This window comes from Homo sapiens, chromosome 11 (genome assembly GCF_000001405.40).
Source record: "Homo sapiens chromosome 11, GRCh38.p14 Primary Assembly".
NCBI lineage: Eukaryota > Metazoa > Chordata > Mammalia > Primates > Hominidae > Homo > Homo sapiens.
In genome coordinates, this window is record NC_000011.10 from 46617978 (window position 1) to 46642377 (window position 24400).

At 43.2% G+C, this 24400-nt stretch overlaps 1 protein-coding gene across 54 annotated transcripts in view; it reads left to right on the forward strand.

The window, feature by feature from the left end:
• The window catches only part of ATG13 (autophagy related 13), a 56966-nt gene that overhangs the window by 425 nt on the left and 32141 nt on the right, over positions 1 to 24400 (forward strand). For 12 of the 54 annotated variants that reach the window (NR_144423.2, NR_144422.2, NR_144424.2 and 9 more), the window contains 1 exon segment: positions 12068 to 12123. The gene's annotated coding sequence lies outside the window, so the exon portion shown is untranslated. 54 annotated transcript variants of the gene reach the window in all.

Sequence of the window (24400 nt, forward strand, 5' to 3'; positions counted from 1 at the left end):
GTGGAAGTAGAAGGGATTAGCCACGGTTCAATCCCCTGGGCCCCTGAGTTTTCTGTGGGAAGTTGAGTTGGTCTAGGCCCCGTTGGCCCCTGCTTGTTTGGCAGAGAATCCCCTCCACCCCAGAGCTTTCCTCTCCACTTTTTCAGCTCCTTGGGTTAGGTCGTCAGGCGTTTTGGAGGTAATTTGGGGGGCCATAACTCCGGGGTTGGGTGCCAATATGAGTGAGGTAGGTTTTCATTCAATCAAGATTTGCTGAGTGCCAAATATGTACTCCGCGTGTAGGTGAGGGTGACTGTTGACTAGTGAAAAAAGGGACCCATGGTTCACGACTGTCTTCTTACTGGCAGTGGAACGACCTGTGGAAACCTGTGATCCATTCTCATTAAATAAATCTCTGGGTAAGTGGCTAAGCACCTTCTTGAGCTCATCACTAATTCTTCCCAGTTTTCACTTTTCCAGTGAGTTCCCAGTTAGCCTGGTCAATTCAGCGTAGCATTTCACTTTTGGTATTTCTTCGTTCTCTGGCCACCCCGCAGCCAAAAAGAAAAAAGAGATTTTAAAAAATTACCTATTTTCTCATTACACTTAGTTTAAAACTCATCTCCTAAGGTGATAGAATTTATTGGACACCTTTAGTGGGAGATGTATTATAATAAGAAACAACAAGCTCTTCCTTTACACTAAATTAGCTTCCAGATTTTGTGTGTTGTTTTATGACTGTTAGTCCTTTTCATGTGTGCATGTAGTGGCTCCAGCTCAATTATGAGGTTTTTTTTTTGTTGTTTTCAACTCTCCATTTATCAGCTCAGGAGAAGTCTTTTAGTTTTTTAGATTTTAAAATTTTTATTATTATTATTAGAGATAAGGTATTGCTGTGTTACCCAAGCTGGAGTACAGTGGCGCCTTCATAGCTAACTTTAATCTCAAACTCCTGGGCTCAGGGAATCCTCCCACCTCAGCCTTCTAAAGTGTTGGAGTTACATGCATAAGCCACAGAGTCCGGCCCAGGAGCTTAATCTCGAAGGAAGTTTACTTGAACTTTAGGTGTGGAATATTCGAAAGTAACTTCCAACATGGGGTGTGGAGCTAAGTAAGATGAATTTACATAAACCGTCATTTTTCCTGCATGTGCTTAGTGGAGGAGAGTGCATAGAGTTGCTGGTCATTGCTTCCTATCAAATTGTGGAAACCAATAAAAACTGAAAATATTCTGCGAGAGAATAGAGGTACTGTAGCCAGGAGGAATGCAAAGGAGGCTGCCCAGAGGGAATCAAACCTTTCTAAAGTTTGGGTTTTAAATATTTAAAAGGATTTTAAGTCCCTAAAGGGATTTAAAGGTTATTTTAAATAATTAGCTGATTTTTTTTTAATGTCCTTGGAAGGTAGATTTCTTGCTTTTTTTTTTTTTTTTTTTTTTTTTTTTTGAGACGGAGTTTCACTCTGGTTGCCCAGGCTAGAGTGCGGTGGCGGGAACTCGGCCCACTGCAACCTCTGCCTCCCGGGTTCAAGCGATTCTCCTGCCTCAGCCTCCTGAGTAGCTGGGATTACAGACATGTGCCAGCACGCCCAGCTAATTTTGTATTTTTAGTAAAGATGGGGTTTCTCCATGTTAGTTAGGCTGTTTGTTCTTGAACTCCCGACCTCAGGTTATCCACCCGCCTTGGCCTCCCAAAGTGCTGGGATTACAGACATGAGCCACCACTCCTGGCCGATTTCTTGCTTTTAACTGAAGAGTAAATGTGGGCCAGTTTATTAAAAATCCTCTGAAGGGGCCGGGCAGGGTGGCTTACACCTGTAATCCCAGCACTTTGGGGGGCCGAGGCAGGCGAATCATGAGGTCAGGAGTTCAAGACCAGCCTGGCCAACAAGGTGAAACCCCGTCTCTACTAAAAATACAAAAAGTTAGCTGGACGTAGTGTTGGGCGCCTGTAATCCCACCTACTCGGGTGGCTGAGGCAGGAGAATCGCTTGAACCCAGGAGGTGGAGGTTGCAGTGAGCCTAGATCACGCCATTGCACTCCAGCCCGGGAGACAGCGCCCCTCTGTCTCAAAAAAAAAAAAAAAAAATTCCTCTGAGGACCAATATAGGTTACATAGGCAATTTGTCTGTGTTTTTTGTTGTTGTTTTTTGCAATGGAGTTTCACTCTTGTTGCCCAGGCTGGAGGACAGTGGCATGATCTCGGCACACTGCAACAACCTCCCCCTCCTGAGTTCAAGCAATTCTCCTGCCTCAGCCTCCCAAGTAGCTGGGATTACAGGCGCCCGCCACCACGCCTGGCTAAGTTTTTGTATTTTTAGTGGAGATGAGGTTTCACCGAGTTGGCCAGGCTGGTCTCCAACTCCTGACCTCAGGTGATCCACCCGCCCTGGCCTCCCAAAGTGCTGGGATTACAGGCGTGAGCCACCGCGCCAGGCCTGGCAATCTCTCTTATCCTGGTATTTTTTTGTATGCCCTTGGTCATAAGAGAAGGGATGAGAATGTGAATTACCACTGCTTAGAAAAACAACTCAATTGGGCTGGGCGCGGTTGCTCACACCTGAAATCCCAGCACCTTGGGAGGCTGAGGCAGGCGGATCACCTGAGTTCGGGAGTTTGAGACTAGCTTGGGCAACATGGAGAAACCCTGTCTCTACCAAAAATACAAAAATACCTGGGCGTGGTGGCGCATGTCTGTAATCCCAGCTACTCGGGAGGCTGAGACAAGAGAATCGCTTGAACTGGGGAGGCAGAGGTTGCTGTGAGCCGAGATCATGCCATTGCATTCCAGCCTGGGCAACAAGAGTGAAACTCCATCTCAAGAAAAAGAAAAACAACTCAATTAACGTGCATGGTTGACTTAACAGGGTCTCCTCAGTAAAAGTAAAGGTAAATCAAGAATTCATAGAAGTCATAACTTATAGAAACCTCCTGTGGAGCAGAAAAATAAAATGAAAGAAGTAATAACTTAGTATTGCTGTTTTGGAAAATGCTGCTTTCACTTTTGATTCATACATGTGAAAGAAATAGTAAAGAAATAGTTAAGAATCATTTTACATTTTTTTCTTTTTTTTTTTGATACGGAGTCTTGCTCTGTTGCCCAGGCTGGAGTGTAGTGGTGTGATCTTGGCTCGCTGCAACCTCTGCCTCCCAGGTTCAAGCGATTCTCCTGCCTCAGCCTCCTGAGTAACTGGGATTACAGGTGCGTGCCACCACGCCCGGCTAATTTTTGTATTTTTAGCAGAGACTGGATTTCTCCATGTTGGTCAGGCTGGTCTCCAACTCCTGACCTCGTGATACACCCACCTTGGCCTCCCAAAGTGCTGGAATTACAGATGTGAGCCACCGCGCCCAGCCATATTTGTTTATTATTTTGAGTTGTTGATACTTTCTTTTTACATGAAGTCTGTAGTTTATAAAATGATGAATTTGTCTACTTCAGAGTTAGGGGGAAGAGTTATCGGTGTGTACTGGCAGCAGGCTGTGGATTCAGAACTGTGAAAGCTTCTCCCAATACTATTCAGTCTTGTTTCTACCTGTTTCTTGGGGTTTCAGTGTTTCTACACTAATTTTTAGGTTAATTTCTTGGGTTTTCATTTCCTTATGCATGTAGGTAGTTTGATTATGGATCTTACATTTATGTGCTCTTCTGACTTGTGCTTTTAATATTTTGGGAGCAACTTGCCCACCTCTCAACATTGCCATGATAGATGGCAAACCTCTTTGTGGCTTCTCCAGGCTTCTTTGAGCATCTGTGATCAAGGAAAGGAGCACTTGGCTGTTGGGCTTTATGCAGGGTACAGGGCTTTTACCTACCTATAAGGTTAAGGTCATATCTCCCAACCCTATTCTTACTCTCATGTGTTTGTCAAAAGGACCTAACCCTTGTCCCTCACAGGCCTCGGTTCCCTGGCATCAGATTTTCCTTACATCTATAGCTTTGATTGTACTCTTTATGGAATCTGGAATATCTACCATTTTTCTAGTTCAGCTGTGTGTCCGAACATTTTTATTGTCATTTTATCTACATCTTTATGTGTTTGTAGTGGGAGGGGGAACTGACAGCATCAGTTCAGTCCACCCTGTTGATGAAAGGCCACTTCAGAGATTTATTTATTTACATATATATATATATATATATATATATATATATATATATATATATATATATATTTATTTTAGAGATGGTATTTGCCCTGTTTCCCAGACTGGAGTGCGGTGAAGCAATCTTGGCTCACTGCAACCTCCACCTCCCAGGTTCAAGCGATTCTCCCGCCTCAGCCTCCCGTCTAGCTGGGACTACAGGCGCCCACTACCATGCCTGGCTAATTTTTTATATTTTTAGTAGAGACGGGGTTTCACCATGTTAGCCAAGATGGTCTCGATCTCCTGACCTCGTGATCCGCCTGCCTCGGTCTCCCAAAGTGCTGGGATTACAGGCGTGAGCCACCGCACCTGGCCAAGAATGCATTAAAATATTTTAAATAATTTTTTGTTGTTTAAAAGTGAAAAAAATATAAACAAGAAACTGATTCACTCCCTTACTTCATGCATTCATCATCTAAACCAAAAACAAAATTTTAAAGCAAGAACAAACTACTGCGGAAAGTTTTTGTAAGTCCATTTTCTCTGTACATTCAAACTGCTGACTACTGAAGGGAAAAAAATATAATCCATGGTGTCTGCTGAATCAAAGGGGAGAAACAAGGCTGTCATTTAGTATCCAAAAACTGATACACGTATGTTCTGCTTTTATAATGTGTATTTTTCTCTCTTCTGTTTTTCATATCCAAAACTTGTAAATGCTATTTTAGGGGCAAAGCAGATTAGATTCCAACACTTGTTGAACAGAATTCACAAGCTGTGACAAAACTCTGTCATCTTCGGGGTGCAATTTTGTTTATATACACTGTATGTATATATTTCTTTTAGATTTGGCTGTAGTGGACTGGCCGTGGTTCAAGTGCCACCTTCATTCTAAGGCAAGGATATGCTGTGATGAAATCTTGGAAGTACAGCTAGAGTCATCATTCTAGCTGTTTGAAAAAGTGTATTTGGGCCGGGTGCCGTGGCTCATGCCTGTAATCCCAGCACTTTGGGAGGCCAAGGCGGGCGGATCACGAGGTCGGGAGACCATCCGGGCTAACACGGTGAAACCCTGTCTCTACTAAAAATACAAAAAAAAAAAATTAGCCGTGTGTGGTGGCGGGCACCTGGGGTCCCAGCTATTCTGGAGGCTGAGGCAGGAGAATGGCACGAACCTGGGAGGTGGAGTTTGCAGTGAGCCGAGATTGTGCCACTGCACTCCAGTCTGGGCAACAGAGCAAGACCCCGTCTCAAAGAAAAGAAAAAGTGCATTTGAAGTACGTCCATAAAGAAAGAGACCTAATTTTAGAAGACATTTATGCTGGGTGAAAGTTTTTCTCCACTCTATTATGGACCATATGATGGCAACTAGTTTTGTTTTTTTGTTTTTGTTTTTGTTTTTTTGAGACAGAGTCTCACTCTGTCACCTATGCTGGAGTGCAGTGGCGCAGTCTTGGCTCACTGCAACCTCTGCCTCCCGGGTTCAAGCAGTTCTCCTGCCTCAGCCTCCCAAGTAGCTGGGATTACAGGTGTGCACCACCACACCCGGCTAATTTTTGTATTTTTAGTAGAAATGGGGTTTCACCATGTTGGCCAGGCTGGTCTCGAACTCCTGACCTCAGATGATCTGCCCGCCTTGGCCTCCCAAAGTGCTGGGATTACAGGCCTGAGCCACCGTGCCTGGCTGGCAACTAGTTTTTTTATTTGTTAATTTGATTTTTTTTAATTCAAATCTACAGAAAAGTTGGAAGAATATTACAGTGAATTTTTATGTACTCTTCCCTTAGATTTGCACATTGTTCACTCTTTACCACATTACTTTCTTTCTCCTATATATTGTATAACTATTATTTTTGCATTATATTTACACATTCTTATTCTTTTTTTTTTTTCTGAACCCTTCAGAGATGTTACTTATATCTCATGAATAAGAATGTGGACCAAAATGTAATTTTATCAAATTCAGGAATTTTTTTTTTTTTTGAGATGGAGTCTCGCTGTCACCCAGGCTGGAGTACAGTGGCGCAATCTCGGCTCCCTGCAACCTCCACCTCCTGGGTTCAAACGATTCTCCTGCCTCAGCCTCCTGAGTAGCTGGGACTACAGGCATGCGTCACCACACCTGGCTCATTTTTGTATTTTACTAGAGAAAGGGTTTCGCCATGTTGGCCAGGCTGGTCTCGAACTCTTGACCTCAAGTGTTTACACTCCTCAGCCTGCCAAAGTGCTGGGATTACAAAGGTGAGCCACCACAACCAGCCAAATTCAGGAAATTTAATATTGATGCAATACTGTTACCTAGTATACAGTTGGGTTCAAATGTTGCCAGTTGTTTCAGTACTGTCCTTCACAGAAACTTTTTAAGAAATCCAGGAACTGGTCCAGCATCAAGCTTTGCATTTAGTTGTCACACTTTATTCTCCTTTAATCTAAAATGGATCTTCAGATTTTTTTTTTTTTGTTCTTTTATAACACTGACGTTTTTGAAGAGTGACGAGCCCATTATATTATTAAATTTTCAGCCTTTCAATTTGAGCTTGTCCAATCACTTCCTCATGGTTAGTTTCAGGTTATACAGTTTTAGCAAGAAAGCTATGTAAGTAATACATCACATCAGAAGGGATGTGAAGTCAGTTTCTTCAATTGTTGTCCAGGCCAAGGTGAAAGTTCCCCCTCACCCTTGAAAAAATCAGCTCATTAGCTCATTGGCTGGGCATGATTGCTCATGCTGTAATAATCATAGCACTTTGGGAGGCTGAGGTGAGAGGATTGCCTGAGCGCAAGAGTTTGAGACCAGCCTGAGCAACATAGTGAGATGCTGTCTTTACAAAAAAATAAAAAATTACCTGGGCATGGTGGTGTGCACCTGTAGTCCCAGCTGAGGTGGGAGGATTGCTTGAGCCTGGGAGGTCCAGGCTGCAGTGAGCCATGATCATCATGGCACTCCAGCCTGAGCAACAGAGACCTTGTCTCCAAAAGATAATCAACTCATTCACAAGGCCAGGTTCAGTGGCTCACACCTGTAATCCTAATCCCAACACTTTAGGAGGCCAAGATGGGAGGATCACTTGAAGCCAGGAGTTCCAGACCAGCCTGGGCAACATATCAAGATCGCGTTGCTACCAAAAAAAAAAAAGAAAAATCAACTCACAAAAGGCATATGAATTGGAAAAAAAGGCATACAGATTTTTTTTTTCCTAAGGTACTTTTGCTATAGCTTGCTCTTTCTTTTTTTTTTTTTTTTTTTTTTTTGATACAGGGTTTTGCTTTGTCACCCAGGCTGGAGTGCAATGACATGATCACAGCTCACTGCAGCCATACCTCCTGGGTTCGAGTGATCTTCCCACATCAGCCTCCTGAGTAGCTGGGACTATAGGTGAGCATCACCACACCCAGCCAGTTTTTTGTATTTTTGTAGATAAATGTTACCCAGCCTGATCTTGAACTCCTGAGCTCAAGCTATCCTCCTGCCTCGGCCTCCTAAAGTATTGAGATTATAGGCGTGAGTCACTGGGCTGGCCAAGGCATACAAATTTATCACAGAGTGATTGCCCATCCCCCCAGGTGGTTCAGAGGTTATATACCATTCTGGCAAAACAGGTTATGGAAACCTGGAGAAGAGGAATTCCGCTGAGGGGATTACTAGGGAGAATGAATGGATCAGGGAACAGAGATTAACCTGCACATTATCTTGTGAAAGGGTCCATTTAGGTGTGGTTACATTTGTGGTGTTACAACATACAGAAGAACAGTTGTTCCTTTAGGTGGGTCTGGATTTTAGGCGCATAAAGGAATTTAAGCTTTACTGTATGCTTTGGAAGAGAAGGTTTGTGTGGATGGAGTGAGGTGTCAGAGATACCTTGAGGCTTCTTTGGTTAGCATAGCCATATTTGGGGGTATTGATTTCTTTTGTTTCTTTCGTTTGTTTGTTTGTTTTTGAGACGGAGTCTGTCGCCCAGGCTGGAGTACAGTGATGTGATCTTGGCTCACTGCAAGCTCCGTCTCCCAGGTTCACACCATTCTCCTGCCTCAGCCTCCCAAGTAGCTGGGACTACAGGTGCCCACCACCACGCCCAGCTAATTTTTTGTGTTTTTAGTAGAGACAGGGTTTCACCATGTTAGCCAGGATGGTCTTGATCTCCTGACCTTGTGATCCACCCGCCTCGGCCTCCCAAAGTACTGGGATTACAGGCGTGAGCCACCGCACTTGGCCTCTTTTGTTTTTTGAGACGGGAGTTTCACTCTTGTGCCCAGGCTGGAGTGCAGTGGCACAACCTCAGCTCACTGCAGCCTCTACCTCCTGGGTTCAGATGATTCTCCTGCCTCATCCTCCCGAGTTGCTGAGATTACAGGCACGCACCACCATGCCTGGCTAATTTCTTATTTTGAGTAGAGACAGGGTTTCACCATATTGGCCAGGCTGATCTCGAACTCCTGACCTCAGGTGATCCGTCCGCCTCCGCCTCCCAGAGTGCTGGGATTACAAGCGTGAGCCACTGCGCCCGGCCTGGGTATTGATTTCTGAGCCCCAATATCAGTATGTTATCTTTGATGACTTTGTTAAGATTGTATCCACCAGGTTTCTCTTTGTAATTAATAAGTAGTAACCTGTGTTCCCATAGATTGTGTAAATATCTCATTTGTAAATAAAGTTTCACCCAGAAATTTTAGCATTCCTTGGTGATTTGCTTGAACCAGTTATTCCTATAATGGTTACAAAATTGTCATTTTCTAAGTCTGCTATTCTTACATTTATTTATTGTATTATACTATAAAGAAGTATTTTCCCCATCTTCATTTATTGCACAGCTCCCTTTGAAACCACAGTGTTAGGAGGAAGGTGTAAACATTTGCTATAGAAAAAAAGGACTATGTCAGGAAAGGATTGTATCTGCTCTTCCACTGTTAGTTTAAGAAATAAGGTCGGGTGCGGTAATCCTGTAATCCCAGCACTGTGGAAAGCCGAGGTGGATGGATCACTTGAGGCCAGGAGTTCGAGACCAGCCTGGCCAACATGGCAAAACCTCATCTCTACTAAAAATAAGATAATTAGCCCGGGCCGGGCGTGATGGCTCACGCCTGTAATCCCAGCACTGTGGGAGGCCGCAGTGGGCAGATACCTGAGGTCAGGAGTTTGAGTCCAGTCTGGCCAACATGATGAAACCCTATCTCTACAAAAATATGAAAATTAGCTGGGCATGATGGCAGGTGCCTGTAATTTCAGCTACTTGGGAGGCTGAGGCAGAAGAATCACTTGAACTTGGGAGGCGGAGGTTGCAGTGAGCCGAGATTGCACCACTGCACTCCATCCAGGGCGACAGAGCAAGACTCTGTCTCAAAAAATAAATAAATAAATACAGAGAAATGTAAAATTATAAATTAAATTTTAATGCTTCCAAAACCTACATGTTCTCGCATGATAAACATGAGTTTAAAAGCTTTTTTTGAGAAGAAGTTTTGCTCTTGTTGCCCAGGCTGGAGTGCAATGGCGCGATCTCAGCTCACTGCGACCTTCGCCTCCTGGGTTCAAGCGATTCTCCTGCCTCAGCCTCCCAAGTAGCTGGGATTACAGGCATGTGTCACCATGCCTGGCTAATTTTTTTATTTTTTTATTTTTAATAGAGATGGGGTTTCTCCATGTTCATCAGGCTGGTCTCGAACTCCTGATCTCAGGTGATCTGCCCGCCTCGGTATCCCAGAGTGCTGGGGTTACAGGTGTGAGCCACCGTGCCTGGCCTGAATTTAAGAGCATTTTTAAGGCCAAGCGCAGTGGCTCATGCCTGCAATCCCCAGCAGTCTGGGAGGCTGAGACGGGAGGATTGCTTGAGCCCAGGAGTTCACAACCAGCCTGGGCAACAAGGCAAAGCCCCATCTCTACAAAAAAATACAAAAAATTAGCTGGGTGTGGTGGCATGCTAGTAGTCCCAGCTACTCCTGAGGCTGAAGTGGGAGAATCACCTGAGTCCAGCAGGTTGAGGCTGCAGTGAGCTGTGATCGGGCCACTGCACTCTAACCTGGACAAAGGATTGAGACCTTGTCTCAAAAAAAAAAAAAAAAAAAGGCAGGAAAAAAAGCATTTTGGCCAGGCATGGTAGCTCACGCCTGTAATCCCAGCATTTGGGAGACCGAGGTGGGCAGATCACCTGAGGTCAGGAGTTCTAGATCAGCTTGGCCAACACGGTGAAACCCCATCTCCATTAAAAATACAAAAATAAGCTGGTGTGGTGGCATGTGCCTCTGGTCTCAGCTACTCGGGAGGCTGAAGCAGGAGAATCACTTGAACCTGGCAGGTGGAGATTGCAGTGAGATCGTGCCACTGCATACCAGTCTGGGTGACAGAGTGAGACTCTGTCTCAAAAAAAACCTGAAAACAAAACCCCGCGTTTTAAGCATCCAAAGTGTTGAATATTTGTCAGCAAATAGTTTTTTTTTTTAATTACAGGTAAAACATTCTATTATTTCTTTAATAGTTTTGAGGTTACTGCTTATATATTTTATGTAAGTAGAAGTAGGCATTATACAAATGTGAAAGCAATGTTGTTAATATGCCAGGAATTGTTACTCAGAAAAACTGAATTTGGGATTCATTTTTAGAATAAATCAAGGAAATATTAATTGGTTAACTGTTCATTGTTAATATTAGATTAGGTCCATATATATCTAACAGTCTTCTCTACACAGCAACCTGAGCAATCCTTTTTAAAAATGTACTTGTTGAGGTGTAATTGACATAAATAAATTATATCCATTATAAATTTACAGTTTCACAAATTTTGGCAAATGCATAAGTCTTATAATCACCACCACAATCAAAACATGGAAATTCCTATCACTTTAACTTTTCCCTCTACCATTTCTACCTCCACTCCCAGCCCCAAGCAATACTGATCTGTTTTCTTTTTTTTTTTTTTTGGAGACGGAGTCTCACTGTGTCACCCAGGCTGGAGCGTGTGTGCAGTGGCGCGATCTTGGCTCACTACAACCTCCTCCTCCTGGGCTCAAGAGATCCTCCCACCTTAGCCTTCCAAGCAGCTGGAACTACAGATGTGCGCCACCATGCCTGGCTAATTTTTGTATTTTTAGTAGAGGTGGGGTTTCACCATGTGGGCTAGGCTGGTCTTGAATTCCTGACCTCAGATGCCCCACCCACCTCAGCCTCCCAAATTGCTGTGATTACCGGTGTGAGCCACTGCACCTGTCTGATACTGATCTGTTTTCTGTCACAAGAGATTACATTTACCTTTTCTAGAGCATGGTATAGATGCAGTCACACTCATAGTGTGTATTTTTGTGTGCGCTTTCACTTTGTATTATGTGAGATTCATCTATTTGTGTTCACAAGGAGGTTTTTGTTTTTGTTTTTGTTTTTTTCCGAGACAGAGTCTCAGTCTTGTTGCCAGGCTGGAGTGCAATTGCATGATCTCAGCTCACTGCAACCTCTGCCTCCTGAGTTGAAGCGATTCTCCTGCCTCAGCCTCCCAAGTAGCTGGGATTCCAGGAGCCCGCCATCACGCCCGGCTAATTTTTGTATTTTTAGTAGAGACGGGGTTTCTCCATGTTGGTCAGGCTGGTCTCGAACTCCTGACCTCAGATGATCCACCCGCTTCGGCCTCCCAAAATGCTGGGATTACAGGCATGAGCCACCATGCCTGGCCGACCCTGCTTAATCTTAATAAGCACTTAATACTTTCAAACATATTTTAATTATTTTTATTGTCAGCTCCCCCTTGTTAGAATACAAGCTCCATAATATCATGAATTTTTGACTGATTACAAATTTCTGGTTAAACATGACAGAGTGACTACATATATCTGTTCTGTTTATTTATTTATTTATTTATTCATTTTATTTTTGGTCTCCTAAGGCTGTGTCGTCCCAAAGATACTAAGTAACAGGCAGAATTGGATATGGCACAAATTTCTGTTTAAAGAGATGCGGTCTCGCTCTGTTGCCCAGGCTGTTGTGCAGTGGTATTCACAGTCATGATCATATTTCTCTACAGCATCTTGGACTCAAGTGATTCTCCTGCCTCAGCCTCCTGAGTAGCTGGGACTACAGGTATGTGCCACCAGGCCCCATTTCTTTTTAAGCCATATAAAATTATAGTAAAGGAATAAAATGGATGTAAACATGCAAGAATAGAATGGGAAAAGCTGAGAAGGAGAGATTCTCTACATTTTTGGGAGAAGGAAACCTAGAGGAGGAATTTTAACTGGTTTAACAATGCAGAAGAAGCAGCAGCCTGGGAGTGAAATGAAGTTGGAACAGGAAGTGAACTGATTTGAACCAAGAACCCTGTAATGGTTCCAGACTGGAGGTTCTAGGTAGCTAAGGTTCAGGGAAGGCTCCAGATTCAGAAATACCAAACACCGCTTGTGTGTTTCATGATGAGTGAGTGGACCAGTTACAAAGGCCAAATGGAGATAAATATGGTAAAAATCAATTTACCTGATTTCTCACTGTGCTTGTTACATCCAGAAAGCTGATAGGTAGACTTATGCTTGGCCTTGGCAAGAAATTAGAGGCTTTTTTTTTTTTTTTTTGAGACAGGGTCTCCCTCTATGACCCAGTCTGGAATGCAGTGGAGTGGTGCAATCACAGCTCACTGCAGCCTTGACCTTCCAGCTCAAGCAATCTGCCTACCTCAGCCTCCCAGTAGCTGGCTCTACAGGTGCATGCCACCATGCCCGGCTACTTACTTTTTTTGCAGAAACAAGGTGTCACTATGTTCCCTGGCTGGTCTTGAACTCCTGGACTCAAGTGATCCTCCTGCCTTGGCCTCCCAAGTAGCTGGGACCACAGGTGCATGCCACCACAACTGGCTAATTTTTTTTTTAATTTTTATTTTTTGTAGAGACAGAATCTCTCCATGTTGTCCAGGCTGGTCTCAAACTCCTGGGCTCAAGAGATCATCCCACCTTGGCCTTCCAAAGTGTTGGGATTACCTATGTGAGTCACCATGCCCAGCCTATTCACTTTTTATTTTCCAATACTTCGTTGACTTCTTTGATTTGTTATTTCTTCTTCTATCTTTGGGTTTTATTTATAGCTTTTTTATGTCTGTGCTTTTAATTGAGGATTAGGAAGATAATTTAGATAAATATGTCTTATCTGCCTATTTAAGTAGAACCCTATATGTATGTATGTATGTAAGTGTAAATTAATGAATGACAGGGTCTCACTCTGTTACTTAAGTTGGAGTGCAGTGGTGCAATCATAGCTCACTGTAGTTTCAAACTCCTGGCTCAAGTAATCTGTCCACCTCGGCTTCCAAAGTGCTGGGATTATAGGTTTGGACCACCAAGCTGGCCTATTTCTTTATTTAAAATTAGAATTTCAGTACAAAAGTAAGTAAAAGATGTAGAGAACTTGCTTACCTAGTTAAATGTTGTTTTCCATTCGTTCATTATTATCTTTTGCACTTAAGTAGTGTGATAGAATCTTCTGTCCAGCATTTGGAAGTCAGCGATTATCTATGGGCATTATCTAACAATGGGATAATTTGTTTTTTCAGTAATTGTTCAAAAACATTTAGTCTGGTCTGGGTGCCATGGCTCACAGCTATAATCCCAGCACTTTGGGAGGCTGAGGTGAGAGGATCGTTTGAGGCCAGGAGTTCAAGACCAGCCTGGGGAACAAACGGAGACACCCGACCCACCCCACAGGTCTCTGCAAAAAATTAAAAAATTAGTTGGGTGTAGTGACATATACCTGTGGTCTCAGCTACTTGAGAGGCTGAGATGGGAGGATCACTTGGGCCCAGGAGGTCCAGGCTTGCAGTGAGCTATGATGGCATCACTGCACTCCACCTTGGATGACAGAACAAGACCTTGTCTCAAAACAAAAACAACCATTTAGTCTGATACAAGTCTATGCATGTTCTCTTACACTTTGGGAACCTCAAAGTGTTATTTGTTAGGAATTTCTATTTGCAAAAGTGATGTGCAGAGATGTTGCAAAATTGAAATTGCTATTTAAAGTCCAATAAATAGTTTTTATTACTCAACTGTCTTATCATGAAGAAAGGTCTTAATTAAATGAGATTACTTCTAAGACAAGAAAACCTATAAGTATCAAGTCACAGGACAATAAGTGTAGATGAAGTTTAAAGGGATAGCAATATTTGTGGGAACATTATAGAGTATAATTTTTTTTTACCTGATTAAGGCATTTTAGAAACAGTGACATGATAAATTTAATCAATTATTCATGAATGGGAACTGCATAAATTTTTTTGTGAAAATCTGAAATTATACATAGTAATTGGGTTATATCCCTAGGACAGAAAATTTTAATAACAAGATAGTAAGCAGCTCACATGAACTTACATATTCAGCATATTAGCAGGAAAGAGGCAAGACATTTGAAGAACTTGCAGAAAAGTTGCAAAGTAAATGAGAGACTAGAATGCTCAAAGGTAAAGTGGCCTTGATTTGAAGTAAGTGGTAACCTAAAAGCTCTTTTTCTTTGGCTTAGTCTCCTAGCAGCTGATGTGTGGCCTTAAAACCTATACTATCAAGGAGTCTCCACCCTTAATGTAGACAGTCATTTTGGCTGTAACAAGAATTGTAGCAGTAAGTAGTCTACAAAGTCTGAAGAGAAGAAAGTCAAATACATACATTGTCAGGTCCGGTACCTCTATAGACTTTTGGCAGTAGAACCACAAAACCACTTGCCCCTGTGGTAGAGAAGGATGTGTGAAGTTTATAGTGTGGGGTGATACCAGGTAACCATCTGGTACTATTTTACTTCCCAAAACAGTATCTTTTTAGGAAAGATAACATCCTTATTACTTGACACATCTCTTTCTCTCTACTTTCTCAAAAATTGGAATCATGGGCCTAGCACAGTGGCTCACAACTGTAATCCCAGTGCTTTGGGAGATGGAGGTGGGAGGATCACTTGAGGCAAGCAGTTTGAGACCAGCCTGGGCGACAGAGCAAGACCCCCATTAAAAAAAAATATATATATATATATATATATATTTTTTTTTTTTTTTGGCAACGGGGTCTTGCTCTGTCGCCCAGGCTGGAGTGCAGTGGTGGGATCTCGGCTCACTGCAACCTCCTCCTCTCGGGTTCAAGCTATTCTCCTGCCTTAGCTTCCCAAGTAGCTGGGATTACAGGCGCCTGCCACCATGCCTGGCTAATTTTTGTATATTTTGGTGGAGATGGGGCTTCACCATGTTGGTCAGGCTGGTCTAGAACTGACCTCATGATCCACCTGCCTCACCCTCCCAAAGTGCTGGGATTACAAGCGTGAGCCACTGCACCCAGCCCCCAAAAATTTTATTTTATTTTATTTTTTAATTATTGTTTTTTTGGAGACGGAGTTTTGCTCTTGTTGCCTAGGCTGGAGTGCAATGGCGCAATCTTGGCTCGTGCAACCTCCGCCCCCTGTATTCAAGTGATTCTTGTGCCTCAGCCTCTTGAGTAGCTGGGATTACAGGCGCCCGCCACCACGCCCAGCTAATTTTGTATTTTTAGTAGAGACGGGGTTTCGCCGTGTTGGTCAGGCTGGTCTTGAATTCCTGACCTTAGGTGATCCGCCTGCCTCTGCCACCCAAAGTGTTGGGATTACAGGCGTGAGCCACCGTGCCTGGCCAAAAATTTTTTTTAATTAGCTGCACATGGTGTTGCGAGTTTATAGTCCCAGCTACTCGAGAGGCTTAAGTGGGAGGATTGCTTGAGGCCAGGAGTTCCAGGTTACGGTGAGCTATGATTGCGCCACTACACTCCAGCCTGGGTAACGGTGTGAGACCCTGTTTCCAAAAAATATATTTATATGCTATATAAACAGTCTCTTTTAACTTGTGTTGTCCCCAAAACCTTGATTGAATTAATAAAATTAGTTTCTTTTACTTCATTAAGACCACAAATAAATGAAAGCAATTTTTTAGTTTCCTAAGCCTGAATATTGAAATCCTGGACTTTGGTACAGGATCACCTTTTGCCACTTTCAGTGACTAGACTCTTTGCTGAAAGTGTCAGCAGGCCTCTGATCGCCTTTTTGAAGTCACATAACCTATTTTCTCAGCTGAGTTTGCCTGGGATTTTTTTTTTCTTTTTTTTTGAGATGGAGTCTTGCTCTATCGCCAGGCTAGAGTTCAGTGGCACGATCTCAGCTCACTGCAATCTCCACCTCCCAGGTTCAAGAGATTCTCCTGTCTCAGCCTCCTCAGTAGCTGGGATTACAGGCATGCACCGCCACACCCAGCTAACGTTTTTTTGCATTTTTAATAGAGACGGGGTTTCACCATGTTGGCCAGGATGGTCGCGATCTCCTGATCTTGTGATCCACCGGCCTCGGCCTCCCAAAGTGCTGGGATTGGATTCTTTTTTTCTTTTTAATTTAATTTAGTTTTCTTTTTTTTTTTTTGAGTCTGAGTTTTTGTCGCCCAGGCTGGAGTACAGTGGCACAATCTCAGCTCACTGCACCTCCGCCTCCCGGGTTCAAGCAGTCCTGACTCAGCCTCCTGAGTAGCTGGGACTATAGGCATGCACCAACACACCCAGCTAATTTTTGTATTTTTAGTAGAGACAGGGTTTTACCATGTTGGCTAGGCTGGTCTCAAACTCCTGACCTCAAGTAATCCGCCCACCTCATCCTCCCAAAGTGCTGGGATTACAGGTGTGATCCACTGCGCCCAGCCTAGTTTTTTTGTTTGTTTGTTTTTTGAGACGGAGTCTTGCTCTGTCACCCAGGCTGGAGTGCAGTGGCACGATCTCGGCTCACTGCAACCTCTGCCTCCTGGGTTCAAATGATTCTCCTGCCTCAGCCTCCCCAGTAGCTGGGACTACAGGTGTGTGCCAGCACACCCAGCTAATTTTTTGTATTTTTAGTAGAGGCCGGGTTTCACCATATTGGCCAGGCTTTTCTTGAACTCCTGACCTTGTGATCCGCCCGACTCAGCCTCCCAAAGTGCTGGGATTACAGGCATGAGTCACCTCACCTGGCCTAGGTTTTTTTTGTTTTTTTTTTAAGTAGGGGTTTTTCTCTCTGTCTCCTAGTCTGGAGTGCAAGGGTGCTGTCTGAACTCATGGCAGCCTCTGCCTCCCAAGTTCAAGCGATTCTCGTGCCTCAGCCTCCCAAGTGGCTGGGATTACAGGCTGCGGCACCACTCCTGGCTAATTTTTGTATTTTTAGTAGAGACGGGTTTTGCTATGTTGGCCAGGCTGGTCTCGAACTCCTGACCTCATGTGATCCCCTGCCCTCAGCTTCCCAAAGTGCTGGGATTACAGGCGTGAGCCACCGAGCTTGGCCTTTTAAAAGTTTTATTTTAATTAAGACATAATAATTGTTGTACATATTTATAGGATACAGTGATGTTTTGATAAATATATACATTGTGTAATGATCAAATCAGGGTAATTAGGATTGCCTGAGTCCAGGAGTTCAATACCAACCTGGCCAACATAGAGAGACCCCCATCTCTTTTTTAAAAAATTGCATAGCAAGAGTTGCAGGATTTAGTAACTGGATAGTTAATAGCAAAGGGCAGAAAAAAGGAAGTTGTTCAATTGCAGGTTTCTTTAATGTTTGTATCAAATTTACCTTTGTATTCATAGGAGCACTCAAAGAAAGAATTTTGCAAAGAGCAAAGCGTAAAGTAAACCTTACATACATTTATCTTGTAGAGGATGAATTGACTGCTTGGTTAACTGGACCTAAGGGAACACATAGGCCTGGGAGATAACTTTTTCCCTAGTGGAGACTGCACCCTTTTTGGCTCAATAACTGTAGTTACATAATCCTTTCAATGCTACCAGTTGTACAAAAAGTCATTGGAGCCATTGTGCCGTTATAATGATTGCATTGGTAGATAATCTGATGGTGATAATCCAATTCTTACCTTTAGTGTAAGATAAGGGCAGTATAATCCTGCAGCGCATTTCTTTCTTTCTTTGTTTTTCTTCTTCGTGAGACAGGGCCTTGCTCTGTCACCCAAGCTGGAGTACAATGGCACAGTTGTTAGTGTTCTTTTTAACCAAAATTAGGAATGTCTGAAGTGGGTATATGTTTCAAATGCAGCCAGATCTACAAATGATAGATTCCAGTAGGTAAGTCATTTATAGTTTGGATCGCTTTAGGCCATTAACCTGTTCTTGATCACGGTGGACTATCCTGTGGCATCGTATTCCAATAATTATTTCCTCTCTCACATCTTTTATTTCTCCTTCATTGACTTCTTGTCTCTCCCTATAAATTTGTTTAGATATCCCTATCCTGGGAGGGCCAGGCGCAGTAGCTCACACCTGTAATCCCAGCACTTTGGGAGGCAGAGGCGGGTGGATCATGAGGTCAGGAGATCGAGACCATCCTGGCTAACACAGTGAAACCCCGTCTCTACTAAAAATACAAAAAAATTACCTGGGCATGGTGGCAAGCACCTGTAGTCCCAGCTACTCAGGAGACTGAGGCAGGAGAATGGCGTGAACCCAGGAAGCGGAGCTTGCAGTGAGCCGAGATCATGCCACTGCACTCCAGCCTGGAGGACAGGGCGAGACTCCGTCTCAAAAAAAAAAAAAAAAAAAAAAAAGCCAGGCAAAGAGTATATACTGTATGATTTAATCTTTTTTCCTTTTTTTGTTGGGGGTAGAGATGGAGTTTCACTATGTTGCTCAGATTGTTCTTGAACTTTGGGCCACAAGCGATCCTCCTGCCTCAACCTCCCAAAGAGCTGGGATTACAGGTGTCAGCTGCCACGCTGGGCCTATGTGATTTAGTTGATACAGTTTTTTTTTTTCTTTTGAGGTGGAGTCTCATTCTGTCACCAGGCTAGAGTGTTAATTCTCCTGCCTCAGCCTCCCGAGTAGCGGGGACTACAGGCGCACACCAACACGCCTCAGCTAATTTTTGTATTTTTAGTAGAGACGGGGTTTCACCATGTTGGCTAGGATGGTCTCGATCTCTTGACCTTGTAATTAGCCTGCCTTGGCCTCCCAAAGTGCTGGGATTACAGGTGTGAGCCACTGCGCCCAGCCATTGAGAAAGAATTCTACAAACTGCAGATTAAGGATCAGAGGTTTCCTAAGGATAAGGGGTATTAAGGAGTGGCTAAAGGGAGGCATGAGGAAACTTTTGGGAACTATAGGGGTTCACTATTTTGTTTTTGGTGATGGTTTTACCATACATAAGTGTGTTGAATCCTATTAAATTGTATACTTTCAACATACTGTTTATTGAGAGCTACAACTCAGCTATTTTTATTGATCTATTTTGAGATGGAGTCTCACTCTGTTTCCCAGGATGGGATGCAGTGGTGCAATAAAACAAAATGTTTCTACAAGAAAATACAGGAGAATATCTTCATGATTTGCAGATCAGCAAAAATGTATTTTCTTTTCTCTGAATTTTAATAATTTATTAATCTTTCGTTTGATGGTAAGCACTTTTTTATGTTCAAAAAATAATGTTTTTCCAGGGTTCAAGTGATTCTCTTGCCCAAGCCTCCCGAGCAGCTGGGATTACAGGTGTACACCACCACTCCTGGCTAATTTTTGTATTTTTTTGGTAGAGACAGGGTTTTGCCATGTTGGCCAGGATGGTCGCAAATTCCTGACCTCAAGTGATCTGCCTGCCTCAGCTTCCCAAAGTGCATCAAAACTATTTTTCATATGGAAATAGCACCCAGATGAGAACAAGCGCAGGCTATTCAGAGCAAAAGAGTCAGCTGTTATCATTTGCATTTGGCAGAGACTCAGAAGCGGACAGAGGAGTGGGAAAGCTTTATAGTGGGGGAAAAAGGGAAGGTTTCAAGTTTTCCCTAATTGGAGGCTCCTGGCATAGGGCAGCTGGCGGCAGGCTGACTAGAAGCAGGGCATCCTGTGTGATTGGTTAGGAGGTGCATATTTGGCTTTCTTCAGTTGGTCCTAAGTTGGAGGACGTGGGGACCAAAATGTAGGGTATTAAGTCCTAGCTCTTTTGGGCCAATGGTTTTTTGTTTTCATTTTTAATTTATGATTGATACATAATAATTATACATATTTATGGGGTTCGTGTTTTGATGCATGTCTAAATTGTGTAGTGACCTATTCAGGATAATTAGCATATTCATCATCTTAAACATTTATTGTTTCTTTGTGATGAGAACATTTAAAAACCTCTTTTTTGACTGGGCACGGTGGCTCATGTCTGTAATCCCAGAACTTTGGAAGGCTGAGGCAGGTGAATTGCTTGAGTCCAGGAGTTCAAAACCAGCCTGGCCAACATGGCATAACCCTGTCTCTACTAAAAATACAAAAATCAGCTGGGCGAGGTGGCGCATGCCTATAATCCCAGCTACTCAGGGAGGCTGAGGCACCAGAATCGCTTGAACCCGGGAGTCGGAAGTTGCAGTAAGCCAAGATCGCACCATTGCACTCCAGCCTGGGTGACAGAGTGAGACTCTGTCTCAAAAAACAAAACAAAAAAACCTCTCTTGCTATTTTGAAATATATATTATTGTTAACTCCAGTCATTCTGCTATGATATAGAACACTGGAACTTATTCCTCCTATCTAACTGTGGCCTTGTACCTGCTGACCAATTTCTCACCATCAACCTACACCCTACTTCCCCATCCTCTGGTAACTCCTATTCTACTCTCTACTACTTTAATAACAACATCTTAGATTCCACGAGTGAGATCATGCAGTATTTGTCTTTCCATGCCTGGCTTATTTCACCTAACATAATGCTCTCCAGGTTCATTCATGTTGCTGCAAATGACAGGATTTTACTCTTTTTCTGTGGCTAATTTCCATGATATATATATTCCTCTTTTTTTGTTTGTTTGTTTTTTGAGACAGAGTCTCACTCTGTCACCCAGGCTGGAGTGCAATGTTGTGGTATTGGCTCACTGCAACCTCCGCCTCCCAGGTGCAAGCCATTCTCCCACCTCAGCCTTCCAAGTAGCTGGGACTACAGGCATGTGCCACCACACTCGGCTGATTTTTATTTATTTATTTATTTATTTTTTTTTGAGAAGGAGTCTCGCTCTGTTGCCCTGGCTGGAGTGTAGTGGTGCAATCTCGGCTCACTGCAACCTCTGCCTCCCGGGTTCAAGTGATTCTCCTGCCTCGGCCTCCCAAGTAGCTGGGACTGCAGGCGCCACAACCATGTCTGGCTACTTTTTTGTATTTTTAGTAGAGACAGGGTTTTACTATGTTGGCTGGGCTGGTCTCGAACTCCTGACCTCATGATCCGCCTACCTTGGCCTCCCACAGTGCTGGGATTATAGGCGTGAGCCACCATGCCCAGCTTCCACATTTTCTTTATCTTCGTTGATAGACATTTAGGGTGATTCTGTATCTTGGCTATTGTGAATTGGGCCAATTGTCATAGTGGTTATTGTTGGCTTCCTGGACTAGTTGCTAGAGATAGTCTGACTTCATTGACTCATTAGTGTAGATAGTAGGTTGGCTTCTTGGGCTGGTTGCTTCAGGTTGTGGGTCAGAATTCTGTCTTTATATATATATATATTGCCCAGCTGTAACTGTAACAGGTCCATTGTTCATTTCGTGCAGCAAGTGAGTATGCGGAGACACTGGGTTGCAGCAGAGAAAAGAGGTTTAATTGTAGGGTTGCCAAAACAGGAAACAGGAGGAACCCTCAAATCCGCCTCCCAGGGAGTTTGTGGGTAGAGTTTCAATTTAAGAGTTTGAGAGTGGGCTGAAGTGTGGAGATCATTGGTCAAAGTATGCAGGGTAAAGTCATGGCACAGAGAGATGAAGAAGCTATATTCTTACACTGGTTTGGTTTCTCTGTGGGGGGGCCTTTAAACTGTTTGGTGTCAGCTATTCTGCTGTACTTCAGGATCTGCTTATGCAATTTTTTTTTTTTTTTTTTTTGACAGGGTCTTGCTCTGTCCCCCATGTTGGAGTGTAGTGGCACGATCTCAGCTCACTGCAGTCTCTGCCTCCCAGGCTCAAGCAATCCTCCTGTCTCAGCCTCCTGAGTAGCTGGGACTACCATGCCCAGCTAATTTTTATATTTTTTTTTCCTAGAGATGGGGTTTCACCATGTTGCCCAGGCTGGTCTCAAACTCTTGGACTAAAGTGATTCTCCCATCTTGGCCCCCCAAAGTACTGGGATTACAGGCATGAGCCACTGTGCCCATGTATTTAAGCAATTCTTAAACAAAAGTCTTATGATTCTAACATCAGGGAGCCTGTCTGTAGAACAGTAGGGATGCAAATGGTTACAAGGAAGTGGGTCAAAGTACAGCGTGATTAATGGTTAATTATATTTCTGTCCAGAATTCTTGTTAATCTTCTAAGAATGGCTTCATAGCCACTGTCTGTTAGTATATTCAGTCTCTTGTTAAAAAATAAAAAATAGGTTCCATCAGAATGGCAAGCCACCTCTGGGAGAAGATATTTGCAGTATGTATATCCAACGAAGTACTTGTATCCAGAATATATGTTTAAAACTTCAGTAAGGAAAAGAAAACCCAATGGTAAAAATGGGCAAAAGGCTTAAACTAGCACTTCACAAAAGAAGATATCTTAGCTAGAGCCTCTGTTTCCAGCTACTCGGAGGCCGAGGCAGGAGGATTGCCTGAGCCTGGATGATTGAGGCTGCGATCGTGCCACTGCACTCCAGTCTAGGCAACAGAGCAAGATTTTGTCTCACAAAATTAAAAAATACAACAATAAGATAGGATATCCAAATTGCTAATAAGCACATGAAAAGGTGCTAATAGGGGAAATTTCAGTCATCAGGGAAATGCAGATTAGATGAGATACTACCAGATACTACTATCTTTACCAGAATGGCTAAAATTAAAGAATAAGTATTACCAAGTGGTGTATAGATTTATAGCAACTGGAGCACTTGAACGCTGCTGGACTGTGAACTGGTACAGATACTTTAAACCTTTCTGGCAGTGTCTGTTTAAGCTAAACATACGTACCGTGTACTCAGTGACCCACCATTAACATTCCTGACTTTGTCTCTGATAGCAGTGAATGTTTACATCCACCAAAAGACACATATAAGAATATGATAGCTAAAAACAGGAAACAACTCAAATGTTTATCATCAGTAGAATTTTATTTATTTATTTAAGATGGAGTCTTGCTCCATTGCCCAGGCTGGAGTGCAGTGGTGCGATCTCGGCTCACTGCAACCTCTGCCTCCTGGGTTCAAGCAGTTCTCTGCCTCAGCCTCCTGAATAGCAGGGATTACAGGTGCCCACCATCACACCCAGCTAATTTTTGTATTTTTAGTAGAGACGGGGTTTCACCATCTTGGCCAGGCTGGTCTTGAACTCCTGACCTTGTGATCCACCCGCCTCGGCCTCCCAAAGTGGTGGGATTACAGGCGTGAGCCACTGTGCCCGGCCTAGAATTTATTTTTAATATTACGTTATATTCATGAGATAGGGTACTATGAAGCAATGAAAAAGAATAAACTGCTGCTACATCCAACAATATAGATGAATTGTATTATAGACATAATGTTGAATAAAAGCCACACACAAAAAAGTTAGTATTATTGATTATATTTGTAAGAAATTCAAAACAACCCAAACTAATCTGTGGTGATATAAATCAGTAATTATTTCCTTTTGGTGGATTTATAGACTGAGAGGGGTGTAATGGAACCTTCTAGAATATTGGATATGTTCTATAACTGTATCTGGATTGTGGTTATATGGGTGTATACATATAAAAATATTTATTGACCTGTACACCCAAGATTTGTGCATTTCAGTGCATCTAAGTTATACCTGATTTTTTTTTTTTTTCGTGACAGAGTTTTTTACTCCTGTTGCCCAGGCTGGAGTGCAGTGGAGCACCCATGGCTCACTGCCCATGGCTCACTGCAGCCTTGACCTCCAGGGCTCAGGCCATTCTCCCACCTCATCCTCCCGAGTAGCTAGGACTACAGGCATGTGCCACCATGCCTGGCTAAATTTTTTTGTATTTTGATTAGAGACGGGTTGTGCCATGTTGTCCAGGCTGGTCTCCAACTCCTGGTCTGTGATCCTGCAAGTGATCCAACTGCCTCAGCCTCCTAAACTGTTGGGATTACAGGTGTGCACCACCGTGCCCGACCAAAAAAAAATTTAACGTGTACCCATTATTTCCTCTTTCAGCTCTCCTTTTGTTTATTCTTTTCCTTAAAATCTTTTCCCAGTCTGGCTTCCCTGTTTTTGTTAAATGAAACTCTAGCTTCTCAGTTATCCATGTTTAAAACTCTGCTACTCCTTTGTCCTGTTTCTTAAGTCAGTCATTAAATCTTATCAGCTCTTCCTTGTTTTTTTATTTTTGTGGGTTTTTTTTTTTTTTTTTTTTGGATGGAATCTCACTCTGCCACCCAGGCTGGAGTGCAGTGGCGCAATCTCAGC